Source organism: Homo sapiens, chromosome 5 (assembly GCF_000001405.40).
Source record: "Homo sapiens chromosome 5, GRCh38.p14 Primary Assembly".
Classification (NCBI taxonomy): domain Eukaryota; kingdom Metazoa; phylum Chordata; class Mammalia; order Primates; family Hominidae; genus Homo; species Homo sapiens.
Genome location: NC_000005.10, coordinates 134,534,002 through 134,548,041, shown reverse-complemented (window position 1 = coordinate 134,548,041; position 14,040 = coordinate 134,534,002). Strand labels below are relative to the sequence as shown.

The 14,040-nt window shown below is 51.6% G+C and overlaps 1 protein-coding gene across 26 annotated transcripts in view, besides 11 other annotated features; it reads right to left on the bottom strand.

Annotated features, from left to right (window-relative positions):
- The window catches only part of JADE2 (jade family PHD finger 2), a 59,219-nt gene that overhangs the window by 35,186 nt on the left and 9,993 nt on the right, over positions 1-14,040 (bottom strand). For 25 of the 26 annotated variants that reach the window (NM_001437916.1, NM_001437914.1, NM_001437915.1 and 22 more), the window contains exons 2-3: positions 12,127-12,184; positions 9,959-10,053 (exon numbers count right to left, since the gene is read on the bottom strand). In NM_001437916.1, coding sequence (NP_001424845.1) covers positions 9,959-10,053; positions 12,127-12,184 — 153 coding nt within the window. Of the gene's footprint in view, positions 1-9,958; positions 10,054-12,019; positions 12,185-14,040 lie in introns of those variants that run through there. The other variant, XM_024446007.2, reaches the window with a different exon arrangement.
- Positions 2,882-3,221: an enhancer, noted in NCBI's record as "active region_23154". NCBI's record gives its function as "activates an Ori minimal core promoter by ATAC-STARR-seq in GM12878 lymphoblastoid cells {active_cell/tissue: GM12878}" and the evidence as "EXISTENCE:reporter gene assay evidence [ECO:0000049][PMID:35858748]".
- Positions 3,482-3,581: an enhancer, noted in NCBI's record as "active region_23153". NCBI's record gives its function as "activates an Ori minimal core promoter by ATAC-STARR-seq in GM12878 lymphoblastoid cells {active_cell/tissue: GM12878}" and the evidence as "EXISTENCE:reporter gene assay evidence [ECO:0000049][PMID:35858748]".
- Positions 3,642-3,911: an enhancer, noted in NCBI's record as "active region_23152". NCBI's record gives its function as "activates an Ori minimal core promoter by ATAC-STARR-seq in GM12878 lymphoblastoid cells {active_cell/tissue: GM12878}" and the evidence as "EXISTENCE:reporter gene assay evidence [ECO:0000049][PMID:35858748]".
- Positions 4,012-4,241: an enhancer, noted in NCBI's record as "active region_23151". NCBI's record gives its function as "activates an Ori minimal core promoter by ATAC-STARR-seq in GM12878 lymphoblastoid cells {active_cell/tissue: GM12878}" and the evidence as "EXISTENCE:reporter gene assay evidence [ECO:0000049][PMID:35858748]".
- Positions 4,342-4,441: an enhancer, noted in NCBI's record as "active region_23150". NCBI's record gives its function as "activates an Ori minimal core promoter by ATAC-STARR-seq in GM12878 lymphoblastoid cells {active_cell/tissue: GM12878}" and the evidence as "EXISTENCE:reporter gene assay evidence [ECO:0000049][PMID:35858748]".
- Positions 6,438-7,369: an enhancer, noted in NCBI's record as "H3K27ac-H3K4me1 hESC enhancer chr5:133876363-133877294 (GRCh37/hg19 assembly coordinates)". NCBI's record gives its function as "activates a minimal SCP1, AML or CMV promoter by ChIP-STARR-seq in naive H9 embryonic stem cells {active_cell/tissue: H9 hESC(naive)}" and the evidence as "EXISTENCE:reporter gene assay evidence [ECO:0000049][PMID:30033119]".
- Positions 6,930-7,009: an enhancer, noted in NCBI's record as "active region_23149". NCBI's record gives its function as "activates an Ori minimal core promoter by ATAC-STARR-seq in GM12878 lymphoblastoid cells {active_cell/tissue: GM12878}" and the evidence as "EXISTENCE:reporter gene assay evidence [ECO:0000049][PMID:35858748]".
- Positions 7,020-7,259: an enhancer, noted in NCBI's record as "active region_23148". NCBI's record gives its function as "activates an Ori minimal core promoter by ATAC-STARR-seq in GM12878 lymphoblastoid cells {active_cell/tissue: GM12878}" and the evidence as "EXISTENCE:reporter gene assay evidence [ECO:0000049][PMID:35858748]".
- Positions 7,370-8,300: an enhancer, noted in NCBI's record as "NANOG-H3K27ac-H3K4me1 hESC enhancer chr5:133875432-133876362 (GRCh37/hg19 assembly coordinates)". NCBI's record gives its function as "activates a minimal SCP1, AML or CMV promoter by ChIP-STARR-seq in naive H9 embryonic stem cells {active_cell/tissue: H9 hESC(naive)}" and the evidence as "EXISTENCE:reporter gene assay evidence [ECO:0000049][PMID:30033119]".
- Positions 8,301-9,232: an enhancer, noted in NCBI's record as "H3K27ac-H3K4me1 hESC enhancer chr5:133874500-133875431 (GRCh37/hg19 assembly coordinates)". NCBI's record gives its function as "activates a minimal SCP1, AML or CMV promoter by ChIP-STARR-seq in naive H9 embryonic stem cells {active_cell/tissue: H9 hESC(naive)}" and the evidence as "EXISTENCE:reporter gene assay evidence [ECO:0000049][PMID:30033119]".
- Positions 9,926-10,479: an enhancer, noted in NCBI's record as "H3K27ac-H3K4me1 hESC enhancer chr5:133873253-133873806 (GRCh37/hg19 assembly coordinates)". NCBI's record gives its function as "activates a minimal SCP1, AML or CMV promoter by ChIP-STARR-seq in naive H9 embryonic stem cells {active_cell/tissue: H9 hESC(naive)}" and the evidence as "EXISTENCE:reporter gene assay evidence [ECO:0000049][PMID:30033119]".

Here is a 14,040-nt window from a genome sequence, read left to right as displayed (position 1 = left end):
GGGACACTACTCCCTTGCCAGAGTAAAGCTGGCACACTTCATCCTTAAGGTCTCAGTCCAGCCCACATCTGCTCTAGGAAGGCTTCCCCAATCCTAGGCTGGGTTTTGGGCTTTGTCTGAAGTTCTACGGCCCCTGTGTTAGAATCTCCTGGTTTTTTGCCATGTCTTCCCCACTAGAAGGGGAGCTCAATGAGGTCTGGCTGAGCCGCAGGGCTGGAGCCCAGCAGTGCAAGCAGGGTCTGGCACATGCTAGGTGCTGAGAAATCTTGAATGACTCAAGATCCTTCCATGGGCCAGCCACCTCCTTCTTTGGTTGCTGTCCAAGACTACAGCTGGGTACTCCATGCCTTCCAAAAGAGCCTCTGTGCATTTATATAAAAACTGCCCACAAATATGGCAGCCAATTGTAACCTAAACATCATTTTGTGTTGAATTTCCAGGAGGCAGGCTTGGAAAAGGCTTAAATGTTCTCCTAAAACTCCTTTGAATGATTTATGAAAACTAAATAAAGAATAAAATGGACACTGATGAACGAGAAGCCTTGCTGTGGCAAGAAAGTTGGAAGCTGGAAAACAAGCAATTTTCTTAGAATGTGAATGTTTACTATTTTTCTCTCTTTTGGCAGAAATTGACAAATTGTCTTTAAAGGTCTGCTGCCTAGCAACCAAGTTCTGCTGAGCTGCTTAGGAGATGTTAATTGTAGCTTCTTCAAACAGTATGAAGAAATGTTTAAAGGCTTCAAACTCTAATTGAATCACCAATCTGAGTGCTAGGGGTGCCAATGCAGCCCTGGAGGGGGCTAAAGAGTCTGCTCTGCCCAGATGTAGGGACGCTTCTCCAGAAACACATCACATGGCCTTGCCTTCACGTCTTTTTCTGAGACTGCAGATCACAACCATTCAAAAGTCTAGCTTTCTGTACCTATTTCCCTAGGAAGAACTCTGCAAGAAAGCAGAGCATGAGTGACCTCCAAGAGCAAATAAAGATAGTGACAAAAGGCAACTTTCACTGTGCACTAACCACATGGCCAGTAGACACCAGGCTACAAGGTTTAATATACAATCTCAAGATTTGTAGCTAAGATTTGAACACTTCATCCTGGGACTTTGGTTCTCTGCTTCCTTTTCTCAAGGGGTGAACTACTGTATCACAGAGTATTTCAAACTAAGAGGCACCAAGAGGAAATTTAGTTACTTAAGAGAAAAGCTCCAGCAGTTACCACACTACAAAATATAATTACTTGTGTAATTATATATACACATTTTTTTTTTTTTGAGACGGTGTCTCGTTCTGTCACCCAGGCTGGAGTGCAGTGGTGTGATCTCGGCTCACTGCAACCTCCGCCTCCCAGGTTCCAGCGATTCTCCTGCCTCAGCCTCCTGAGTAGCTGGGATTACAGGCACCGGCCACCGCGCCCAGCTAATTTTTATGTTTTTAGTAGAGACAGGATTTCACCATCTTGGCCAGGCTGGTATCGAACTCCTGACCTCAAGTGATCCACCCACCTCAGCCTCCCAAAGTGCTGGGATTACAGGTGTGAGCCACCACGCCCAGCCTATTTGTGCAATTATATTTTTAATGTCCATCTCTTCTAATAGTCAAGCTGCAAGAAGACAGGGACTGCATATGTCCTGTTTATCACTGTGCCTGCTTTTGGCACAGTGTTTGACACACAGCAGGTACTCAAGAAATGCTTGTGGAACAAAAATTAGCCAGTTATGGTGGCTTGCCTGTAGTCCCAACTACCTGGGGGGCTCAAGCGGGAGGACTGCCTGAGCCCAGGAGGTAGAGGCTGCAGTGAGCTGAGATCATGCCACTGCACTCCAGCCTGGGTGACAGAGGGAGACCCTGTCTCAAAACAAACAAACAAACAAACAAACAAACAAAAAAACAAAAAACGAAATGCTTGTGTAAAGAGTCAGTGAATGAATGAATGAATGAATCCCAGGATTTGTATGAAGTATGACTAAACTTTCCTGCCCTGTCTTAGCAGGGAGAGAAGAGGCAGGAGGCTGGCAGGATTCTTCCAGGTGAAACTGAGAAACTGGTCTTGGTCACTGTCCCAAAGCCAATTAAAATGGCTTTGGCCAGGACAATCTCTCCTGGACATCTGTCTACACCAAAAGTCCCAACGTAGAGCTGGAAGTGGTGCCTTCTTCCTCACCCCTCAAGGAAAGTTTGAAGGTCTGTACTTAAAGAGCCAACCTCATCACAATTGTTTTCTGAGCACCTCATCTCATTAGAAATGACAGCTAACAGAGAAAGGTAATTGCCCTGTTAAGGCATGTCAGGTATTATGTTAAAGTTTTACATATATCGTGGCTCCTAATTCATATTACCCCCATTTTACAGATGTGGAGACTGAGATTCAGAAAGGTGAAACCACTTGTGTGAGGTCCCCACTGTCCTTTAACCACAGCAATACTGCTTGCAAGACACAGAGGGCTCTTCTTTTAAAAAATCTTTTCTGGGCCGGAACCTGATAAAGAGTTTCCCAGCCAAGAGCAAACTTATGCAGTTAAAATTCAGTATAAAACACGAAAGAAGGGCTATGAGAATAGCTACCCCCTGCCCAGTTGTGTTGCAAGCTACCACTAGGCTAAGTTCGTAAGACACTTAAAAAAAAAAAAACCCCACTCAACGTCTCTTTCTTTTATTTTCATGAGGATAACAGCACTTCCTGCTCTTAAAGAGAATTTATTACACACATTTCTTTTGCAAGACAAGTCCCAGAGGCCAGGAGGCCCTTCCAGCTGGCGGAGCAGCAACGTTTCCAACTATAGAAGTGGATCCTGCCCCCCACCCCAGAGAAAGGCAGTGTGAGTCTCAGAAAGCAGGCACTTAGCCTAGCGGAAGGGCTCGCCCCAACCCGCCTGCCTCACAGGGTAGCAAAGGAACTGCTGGTGGGCTGGAAACTTGGCTCAAAACCACAAGGGCAAGCACAAAACCTTTTTTTGGATTCTCCTGTTTTATCTATCAAATTATGGGCATTTTGCATTTTACTGTACCATACGCCTTCATTGTTCTACTATAAAATGGCATTTCAAACATCTGGATAACACCTCTGCTCCTCAGAAGGCATCTTATTTATCCTGTGGTTTGGAGCCCCAACACAATCTGGCCACCCCTGTCTTTACCCTTCACCCAGGGTAGAAGGAGGATTCCATTTTTAAAAGCATGGGTTGAGCTAAGAAGCTGCATCTCCACTCGCTGTGTTTTTTGGGGGAGTGGGGGGTGGCACTCCATATAGAGGGACTTTCAAGGACACTGGGTCTGGGGGACACCCTCTTGCTGGCAGCAGAGGCTTCTCTCAGGCCCCTTCCCCAGGGACTAAGTGCTACACATTGGTGAAGGGCCTCAGTGGTACATGCAACTAGGGATGTACTAATTTGTCACCACAGCCTATAGAGGAGCTGACAGCTGAATCCCCACTCCCACCATCCAGGCTTCCAGCTCAGGGTGGCCTGCTTTACCCGACACTCCCCACCTCCTGCCCCACTCACCTCTGGGGTTCCCTTCACCCCCCAGGGCTCCATGAGTCTCGGGAAGGAGTCACATCTACAGATCATCAACTCCCTGGGAGGACCCAGGGCAGAACTCTATGATAAGGGCTCTGAGGCTCACTCGCCTGGGGTCACAGATGTCCTCGGGCAAAGCCTGGGTGTTTTGGCAAAGCCAGGCTGCACCTCCCATAACAGACACCTTCCTGTGTAGCACCTGCATCCTGCTGACAAAGGACAAGCTCCCCAGGGACAGGGCCTGTGCTTTCTGTCCCCAGCACTGAGCTAGGCCCACTAGGTACTCTTAAGCACTTGCTGATTTTGATCAGCATCAGCAGCTCCCGGTCCAGAGACCCAGGCCTCTGCCCACTGGCTGACTTCTGGGGACTCTGACTTCCTGAAAATGCAGCTTTCTACCTCAAGACAGCCTGCTTGGGGAAACCCCCACCGCTTGGCCTGCCCTTCCGCCTGTGTCTCTGCCCAGGCCAGAGGAGGACACTACCTCAAACAGTAGCCCTCCAAAACATGCGGCTGGCCTCCAGGTCTCTCCCAGAACTGTCCTTCACACCTCCGGCAAGTCCGGGGTGGGGCAAAAATTTGTTAATTCCCCAGCCCCTGTGGGAAGGACATGGAGTGGTGGACTGCCCCCACCCACACTCCCTGACGTTGCTTAGATCTTTGAACCAGGCTGGAGAGCCTCCCTCCCTCTCCTTCAACCTAGCCACAGCTTCCACTCCCCACCCCCTCAAAAATACTCAAAGAAGCTTCCAGGGAACAACCAAGCCAGGAACTCCTGTTTTAGGCAAAGGGAAGGGAAAAGTCTATGGCAGTTGTCTTTTTGCTTTTTTTGCTTTTTTTTGTTTTTGAGACAGAGTCTTGCTTTGTAGCTCAGGCTGGAGTGCAGTGGTGCAATCTCGGCTCACTGCAACCTCCGCCTCCTGGGCTCAAGTGATCCTCCTGCCTCAACCTCCTGAGTAGCTGGGATTACAGGTGTGCATCACCATGACCAGCTAATTTTTAAAATTTTTTTTAGTAGAGACAGGGTTTCACCATGTTGGCCAGGCTGGTCTTGAACTCCTGACCTAGAGTGATCTGCCTGCCTTGGCCTCCCAAAGTGCTGGGATTACAGGCATGAGCCACCGCACCGGGCCTATGGCAGTTGTTCTTAACCCTGGATCCCAATAGCAGGTCTTGTTAAAAAAGTACAGGTACTAGGGGGCACAGTGGCTCACGCCTGTAATCCCAGCACTTTGGGAGGCCGAGGTGGGCGGATCACGAGGGCAGGTCAAGACAAGCCTGACCAACATGGTGAAACCCTGTCTCTACTAAAAATACAAAAATCAGCCAGGCATGGTGGCGTGCACCTGTAATCCTAGCTACTTGGGAGGCTGAGGCAGGGGAATTGCCTAAACCCAGGAGATGGAGGTTGCAGTGAGCCGAGATCACACCACTCCACTCCAACCTGGGCGACAGGGTGAGACTCCGTCTCAAAAAAAAAAAAAGAGTACAGGTACTGGCCAGGTGCGGTGGCTCATGCCTGTAATCCCAGCACTTCCTGAGGCAGGCAGATCACTTGAGGTCAGGAGTTTGAGACCAGCCTGGCCAACATGGCTAAACCCCGTCTCTACTAAAAATACAAAAATTAGCCCGGCATGGTGGCAAGTGCCGGTAGTCCCAGCTATTCGGGAGGCTGAGGCAAGAGAATCTCTTCAACCCAGGAGGTGGAGGTTGCAATGAGCTGAGATCACACCACTGCACTCCAGCCTGGGGAACCAAGTGAGACTCCATCTCAAAAAAAAAGGCCAGGCATGGTGGCTCACGCTTGTAATCCCAGCACTCTGGGGGGCCGAGGCAGGCGGATCACCTGAGGTTGGGAGTTCGAGACCACCCTGACCAACGTGGAGAAACCCTGTCTCTACTAAAAATACAAAAATTAGCTGGACGTGGTGGCACATGCCTGTAATCCCAGCTACTCTAGAGGCTGAGGCAGGAGAATCACTTGAACCCAGGAGGCAGAGGTTGCAGTGAGCTGAGATCGTACCATTGCACTACAGCCTGGGCAACAAAAGCAAAACTCCATCTCAAAAAAAAAAAAAAAAAAAAAAAGGTATAGGTACCTAGGGTGCTACTCCAGACCATGTAAGTCAGAATACCTGGGGTGGGGTGGTATTAAAACAATAATCTCTGCTCTGTAAATTCCATTAGATTCTCAGAGATGTGTTCCACAAAGGGTTAAGCACTAACAATGGCTACACCATTTAGTGAGCCAGGCAAGGCCAGAAACTCATTGTGTAAATTATTATACTAGCTCCCTAGGCCAGGCTCAGGACTTCAGGGCCAAAAGATAGATAGCTCTGTTGGGATGCCATAGGCAGCAGAAGACAGCAGGCTGAGTTCTCAGGGGCAGCTCCACCTTTTCCTTCTACTGCCTTAAGGAGCTCCCAGGGCAGACTTCAGGCTTTGCGCACTTCCACCAAAAATCCTAGCCCAGCCTCCCAAGAATCCCAGGGCCCATGCCTTCAGCTCTCAGCTCGGAGGCCCGCACTCACTCCCCCTTCACTCTGGCTGAGGGAAGGGCCAGCCATTGGGCAAGGGCCAGATGGGAAGCTGGGCCTCCAGGCCTTAGCCCTGTCCAGGGTCCTGACTCCTGGTCAAGTGCTTTCTTCAGCCCTGAGGCACCTCACTTGCTGTAGAGTGCCCCTTGGCTTGCGCCCTTAGGGTGCACTGGGAAAGGGCAGCCCCTGAGAGGTCATCAAAGGGCATCCCTGCCTATCCCACCCAAACCCAACCCCAGCCCTTTCATAGCTGTTGGATTCACTGTGTCCCCCACCCCATCATTGCCCACATTTAGAGATGAGGAGACAAGTGAACCACGAGTTCCATGGCTCTGCAGCCACCAAGGAGGGGCTTTCCACAGCACACACATCACTCCGTAAGTGTTCCCACTGGGGACTCCTGCCACACTAAGCAAACCACATGACCAGCCTGACAGCCACCCCATAGGCTTCATACTCCAGGGGATTGAGTAGATGGGGCTCCCAGAACCCCTTTCACCAGGGTATCCAAGGCCCAGGCTCAGCAGACCATAAAGGCCCCGCCCAAGCCATTCACAGAAAGAGAAGAGAGCAGTCCGTGAGATTTAGTGCAAACATTCTCTGCCGCCAAATCCTCGCTTTCATCTCTGCCCTCTCATGAGCCAAATAACTTGGAAGCGTTCATTGATGGTTTCCTCTCTGCCCCAAGATAAGTTGGAATTTATGCCGGCCACGGCTCAACCTTGTCACTTAGAGGACTAGGAAAACCTCTCAGGCTGCTCTCCAGCCTACTGTGGGAGGAAAAGCTTGTGCTGGGCAACAGTTCAAGGGTTCTGGGCGGGGAGGACTTCATTGGCCCTTCTAGAGCCCAGGACTTGAGGTGGGGAGGTGTCTCCCAGGCAGACCTCAGAGCCTGCGGAGGCTCCTGGGCTTGGACCCAGGGCCACGTGGAGCTAGTCCCCAGCAGGGTTGGGCATCGATACTTGTACAATGGGTTTGACTATTTTTAGGTGTGGAAAGGTACAAAGGCTCTGGGCTGGAAAACCCAAGAGGCAGGGGAATTTTCTGCCCCATGCAAATTGCTCTTTCTTCTCAGCCTCCGCTGACACCTGTTTCCTCCCAGGCAGGCCTGATCCTTGGTGCAGATGGCAGCCTTGCGCCTGGGAGGTGGCCCATCCTCCCACTGGAGATTGGAGGAAGCAGAGCAAGGGCAGGAGACTGGCTTAAGTTCCCCCTGGAGTCAAGGAGATAAGCCAACCCTAGGAACTCCCCAAAACTCCCCATCCCACTTCAACTTGAACAGCTACAACAAACAGGAGATAGGTGGGATTCTCGAAAGACAGGTTCTTCATGTCTGAAATGGGCACGACAATTCTTGCCTTCCAGGACCAGGAAGGCACATAAAGGTAGCTACTGTTTTACTACTTCAACCACAGCAACTGGGGAGTCCCTGTAGTTCTCAAGACTGGGGTGAGGCTAGGCGCAGTAGCTCATGCCTGTAATCCTGACACTTTGGGAGGCCAAGGTGGGAGGATCGCCTGAGCTCAGGAGTTTGAGACAAGCCTGAGCAACACAGTGAGACCTTGTCTCTACTGAAAAAAAAAAAAAGACAAAAAAAAAAATTAGCCAGGCATAGTGGTGTGCACCTGTAGTTCTAGCTACTCGGGAAGCTGAGATGGGAGGATCACTTGAGCCTGAAAGTTTGAGGCTGCAGTGAGCCATGATTGCACCACTGCACTCCATCCTGAGTGACAGAGGGAGACCTTGTCTCAAAAGTAAAAAGGAAAAAAAAAAGACCGAGGGTGGGGAAGGTCCCAAACAACCAAGAGCCAGCAGGGCTCCCCAAGGCCCCACCTGCCTTTTGCTTCCTTGGCTGCGCTTAAGCACATCCCATCCCCCTACCAAGCAGGGCTACCCCAGGAGGGCAGTGAGAGCTTCAACACTGTCCCACCCCCACCTCCACCTCACCTCCAGCACTGCATTCCCCTCTCTTAACAGCATTCCCAGAGAAAACACTGTCTATACCCTACCCACCATGGGGCCATGGAAGTCAGGCTTGGGGGATGGGGCATCAGGTCTCAAAGAATCCCAGCCCCACCTCCCCAGGGGAGAGTCCTAGAGGAGGGCAGCTCCTGGAGGAGGCAAGGCGGAGTCCTTTTTCAGATGCAAGCCTCTGCAGAAGCCCCCCTCCAAGGGCTGGCTAAAGACAGTGGAGCCAGGACTGCATCTGTGGTGAGGTAGCATAGAGGAGGGGCCAGCATGGAGCAAAGACATCCTCTCCAACCCATGACGAGGGCCCCGCCACCAAACTCTGGGCCTTTCTGCCCTTGGCATTGTGAGCCCCAAGGATTTAAGGTCTTGGCTAAATGACCTTGCGATCCTCACTTTCCTTATTTTCAACAGGACTGAGAAATTCTGGGCTAGTTTTAATGATTAAAAAGGAGTGTCCAGCCCCAGTGCCTGGCTACTTCTTGGCTGTAGTACAGTGTCCTACTTAAGAGCCAGGATTGGCCGGGCGCGGTGGCTCACGCCTGTAATCCCAACACTTTGGGAGGCCGAGGCAGGTGGATCACCTGAGGTCAGGAGTTCAAGACCAGCCTGGCCAACATGGTGAAACCCCATCTCTACTAAAAATACAAAAATTAGGCCGGGCGCGGTGGCTCATGCCTGTAATCCCAGCACTTTGGGAGGCCAAGGCGGGCGGATCACAAGGTCAGGAGGTCGAGACCATCCTGGCTAACACGGTGAAACCCCGTCTCTACTAAAAAAATACAAAAAATTAGCCGGGTGTGGTGGCGGGCGCCTGTAGTCCCAGCCACTCGGGAGGCTGAGGCAGGAGAATGGCGTGAACCCAAGAGGCGGAGCTTGCAGTGAGCCGAGATCACGCCACTGCACTCCAGCCTGGGCAACAAAGCAAGACTCCATCTCAAAATAAATAAATAAATAAATAAATAAATAAATAAAATAAAAATAAAAATACAAAAATTAGCTGGGTGTGCTGTGTGCACCTGTAATCCCAGCTACTCGGGAAGCTGAGGCAGGAGAGGCATTTGAACCCAGGAGGCAGAGGTTGAAGTGAGCCGAGATCATGCCACTGCACTCCAGCCTGGGGAACAGAGAGAACCTCAGTCTCCAAAAAAAAAAAAAGAGCCAGGATTAAGACCCTCCATCTCTCCATCTCTCCAAGCTTCTGCAGCCCCATCTGTGCCAAAGGCTTCTTCTGTGGTCAGTGCAATGAATACCTTGTGGCATTAGCACTGAAGACCTACAAGAAGGAGCAATAAGGCCCTAGGGTGGGAGTTTTCAGGGACCCCAGAAGGAGGGTCCAGGTGTCCAGGAGTCTACCCACCCCCAGTGCGCTTCTCAGTTCCAGAGGCCATAAACCTCTACCTGCTGTAAGAAACATCCCAGGTCAAAGTAAGGAAGGCTTCAAATGCAGATGCCTGTGAAATGGGTATAAGGAACCTATGACTAATTGGATGGCTCTGAGGACTCCACCCCTTATCCCTGCACCAGCAAATCCTTATCACTCTTGGCTCGGCCTCCAAAATGTCACAAACCCTGCTGCTTCTCATTCCACTGCTACCACCCAGCTCTAAGCCACCACTATTTCCCTGCTGGATGACTGCAACTCTCCCTTCTCTCACAGCGGCCAGGGGGAACTTTCACTAAAACATCAGGCTGTGTCATTACCCTGTCTGAGATCCTTGAAAGGCTTCTCCCCTTGCTCAGTTCAATAGGAACATCTTCACAACAACCTGGAAGGCTGAGGGAAACTGGCCCCTACTCCCCTTCATTCCACTCGGCCACGCTGGCCTCCCTCTGCACTGCCCGTGCCCTCTGCCAGGAATGCTCTGCCCCAGTCTCCGCAGGGCAGCTCACTCTCACTCCCCACAGATCTCTGGGAAGCTCATCACTACCCACCTCGGAGGGCTTCTTTTCGTTCTGTCGGGGCCAGCCCGACTTGGTGCTGCTGGGCAGTTTGGAGCATCTTGATGCGGATGTAGATGTCGCATGACCTGCAGAGAGAGAACAGTCCATTAGGGGTCCTGGAGGGCCAGGAGCACCACCCACTCATGCCCAAGAATAGGAAGCTTCTAAGCAAAGCCCCGGCTAGAATGTTCATGAGGGAGAAACCTCTGTGAGACCTAGTATCCCTGCTCTGGGCCTCAGTCTCCCCACTGATGAATGGGGACATGAAGCCTCCTCTACTCGCCAACCAGAAGGCTGGAGAAATCAAAGGCTGTTACTGGGGCTCAGTATTAGTTTAATGTGTGACCCCAGACAAGTCCTTGGCCCTCTGTGGGACTCTGCTCAAAGACAGCTGGAATAAGCCTTTCATGCCCACACTCCACCCTGCCCCAGGTTAGGTACTGTCCAAATACTCTGGGATGATGCCAGTGGGTATTCAGAGGCAGAGCAGGGCAATGGGAAGAGAGATGCTCTGAAGCAGATCCAGGTCATCAGCAGAGCCCTGACCCAGCCACTTACTAGCTTGTCACCCCAGGCAAATGACTCAATCTTGCTGAGCCTTAGTTTGTTCTTCTGTAAAATGGGGGCAAAAGAATAACTATCTTCAAAGGGCTGTGGTGAGGAATAAGTGATATCATGCCTGTAAAGTCTCAGCACAGTCCCTGGCACAGAGTGATTCCTCAATAAACATTAGCTATAATTATTAGGGTCTAAGGCCCTTGCTGGATGACAGTGCTGTGGCCTCCGCCCTTATGAATCAAAGGAGCAGCAAGAAATAGGGCAACACTATGGTTTTGGCTGAATAGGAGTAGCAGCCATGGGTGGGCACAGTGGAGGGGGCTGGTGGGGAGCCTTGCAGGTACCTGGCTCTCTCAAAGGGCTCCTCTGCCTGCAATAAAGTTAGAAATGGAGGATGTGGTTTTTGGTTCCACTGAGCCAGGCCACAGGCAGCATGTTGTAGCCACAAAAGGCCAGATGCTGTGATCTCCTGCTGTAGGGAAGAAGGGCTGGCCAGGTGGGACGCCAGAGCCAAACTGAGCAAACAGAGCCCAAAGGACAACAAATGAGACTTGGAGGTAGGGATGGGGCTGAGACCTCCTTGGCCATCCTAGTGGATCTACCCTTAGGCTTTTGTGGGGGCTGTGGAACTCTGGGAGCTAGGAGGGGCCTTGGCAAGCCCCCTAATCTTACTTGCTCATAAGTGTGAAGAAACAGGTCTAGAGTTGCACAGCTCCAAGCCCGGCCTCCTTGGCAGGGCAGCCTCTTCCTTAGCCTGGGCCTCCAGCAGGGCAATCATTGCTAGGTGAGATCTTCCTGGCAGCACAACTCTCCTACCCACAGCAGATGGAACTCCTTACTCCAACAAGCACAGGCAGGCCTGGCTTTCTGGGCACCCGAGAAGAGCTGCCTTATGACCTAGTACCAGAGCCCTCACTTTGCATAAACCTCCCTTCTCTTCTCCAAATTTCAGGGGGGCTCCCTAAACTTCTTCTGCTGCTTGATAGTGCAATCCACGCACCCCTCCCCGCAACCATCACGTCCAATTGACATGCCAATCCATACACAAGTCTACCTCTGGGATTCTATTGCCAAGATTCTATGAAGGTTGGGTATCTTCATTGATTTGTTCAGCAGACATTCACTGAGCATCTACTATGTGCCAGATCGTAGCTGGGGATATAGTGGTAAGCAAGACAAGAGACCTCTTATCAAGGAGCTTACCACTGATTGGGAAATGGTACTTATCCGGTAATTATGGTAAAAGGTGACTGGTTTTGTATCTGTTGTATACAGACTTTCTATATGGACCTTCACTTAATATATGCAGAAGCCCAGAGTGGAGCCGATCTGTTCCAACCAGAGCAAAACAAATGGAGCTGGGACCTAGAGGATAAGGGGGAGTACAGCTGGGAGAACAAGGCCCTGGAGGTCACGGAAGGTGCAGGGACTTTTTTAGAAGTGGAAGGGCAGGAGTGGAGAAACCTGACTTGATTTATGCTTTCATCAACATGCCTCTTAGTGAAATTAAGACCACAGGGCAGCCTCCTCCCATCTGGGCCTGTGGGCCTGATCACTGTTCAAATGCTTTCCCTGTAGGAGCCCAAACTGGAAGGCCTTACTGTCAGTGGTGTCAGAGTTGTCACTGCTGATGGAGTATTTTCGCCTCTTCTCTTCCATCTGCAACAAAAGGCAAGCCCATTATACTCACGGATGGCTTGGGAAATCCTCAACCTCTCAGAAAATCACCCCATAACCAACCTCCCCACACTTATGACACTGCAGAAAGATAAGAATAAAGCCCTGTCCTAGCCTTCTTCTCTGCCAGCACCACCCTCTCCCACCCACCCACAGAGGCCCTGGGATTCTAAAAGGCTGCATCTCCCACCTCCTGAGCCCAGAGCCCTTGGTTGAGCAAGGGTCTAACCAAAGCTGTTGTAGAGGGAGAGGACATGGGGGCATCAGCAAGCCCAAACTGAATAGTGACCATGACCTGCCCAGTCCCAGCTGCCACCCAAGGACACTCAGGCCCACCACTGCAAAGGCCTCCTGAGCCACAAGTCCTCTAGGGAGGTAGGTGGGTAGAGGACAGCAAACAAGACTGATTCTTCCAGGAGGACCATGCTGTCGGAAGTTAGGGACAAGCCAGCACAGAAAACACTGAGGGCCTAGTCCTGCGAGTGGTGGTCAGCAGTGTACAGAAGCGGGGGAGAGGCGGGGGACACTCCAGGCTGGGTCCCTGAGACACATCAGGCCCAGGGTGACTGGTCCTGGGCTGGGCTACCCTGCCCTCCTACTCCCCACCATCCTTCCCAGATAAACGTACAAATAAACTCTACCTCAACTGCAACATCTAACTTCAAGGTATTAAGGACAACTCTCACATAGGGGCCTCATACTGAGCTCACGCGGAGTCTTCCTTTATCCACATCATCTCCTGTTCCTAACCAGGTGAGCTGTGAGCTCCATTTACAAGTGAGGCCAGCACCTTGTCCTGCTAGTAAGTGGCTGAGATGGGACTGAATCCATGAGGTCTGATCCCCAGGCGCATGCTGAGCTGCCTTTTTACCCTCCATCAGCTCCTGGCTGCTGAAAGTGTTTTCCCACCACTGTTTCCTATAATCCTCACGAGTCCCAGGTGGCAGAGCCTGCTCTCATCCCCTTGGAGGGGAGCACAGCAGGTGATGCGTTAACCTGCTCTGGGTCTTACAGCTCGCCTGTGGCTGAGTCCTAATGTGGGAACACATTGGGGGCTCAGGGTTCAGAGCACGCTCCCCTGTGTTCCCTGACTGACTCCCCACAGCAAAGGATAGGGAGGGAGTCTGTGTCAGTAGAGAGAAAGCCCCACTGCCCAGCCCATCTGCACCTAACTCCAGCTGCCCCCAACCCCAGTCCATTCCTGCTGAGCCCTGGGATGCCACCATCTTACTGCAGCCCTGCAGAGACTAGTGAGCATCTGCTCTCTAAGGTGGGTGTGAACACCCAGATCTCTCAGCTGACCAGGATGGCCCTCCTGCCTTGGACTTGATCTTAGCCGGGAGCTTCTCTCTACCCCAGTGCCCACCACCAGCAGGACCAGGATGGCAGGAAGGCTCATTGAGGCTGCCTGCCGCCCAGCTTCAAAGATGCCGGTAAAGTGCCCTCCAGAGGCTGAGGTTCCAAGGGACACTGGTGGTGCAAGCAGCACAAACGCAGGAACAAGGATGGCTAAGACTGCTAAGCGCTCACAGTAGCGGGAGGGGGTTCCACAGGGTCCACAGGGACCTCAACGAGTCCCTAGAGCAGCCCTTTGTTATAGGCATATATCATGGCTGCTTCCCTTTTGCAGAGGAGGAAACTGAAGCTCAGAGGTTAAGTGACCTGCCCAAGATGTCAGTGACTGTATTTGATTCAGGAGACCGTGCTCTTGACCTTCTGACTTCTCCGTCTCTGCGCAGCAGAGTACAAACAGCTCAGCAACCCACAGCTGCCACCCTCACTGCCTTCCAGAGTCTGCGTGTCAAGGGTGCGACACCTGTAATCCCAGCACTTTGGGA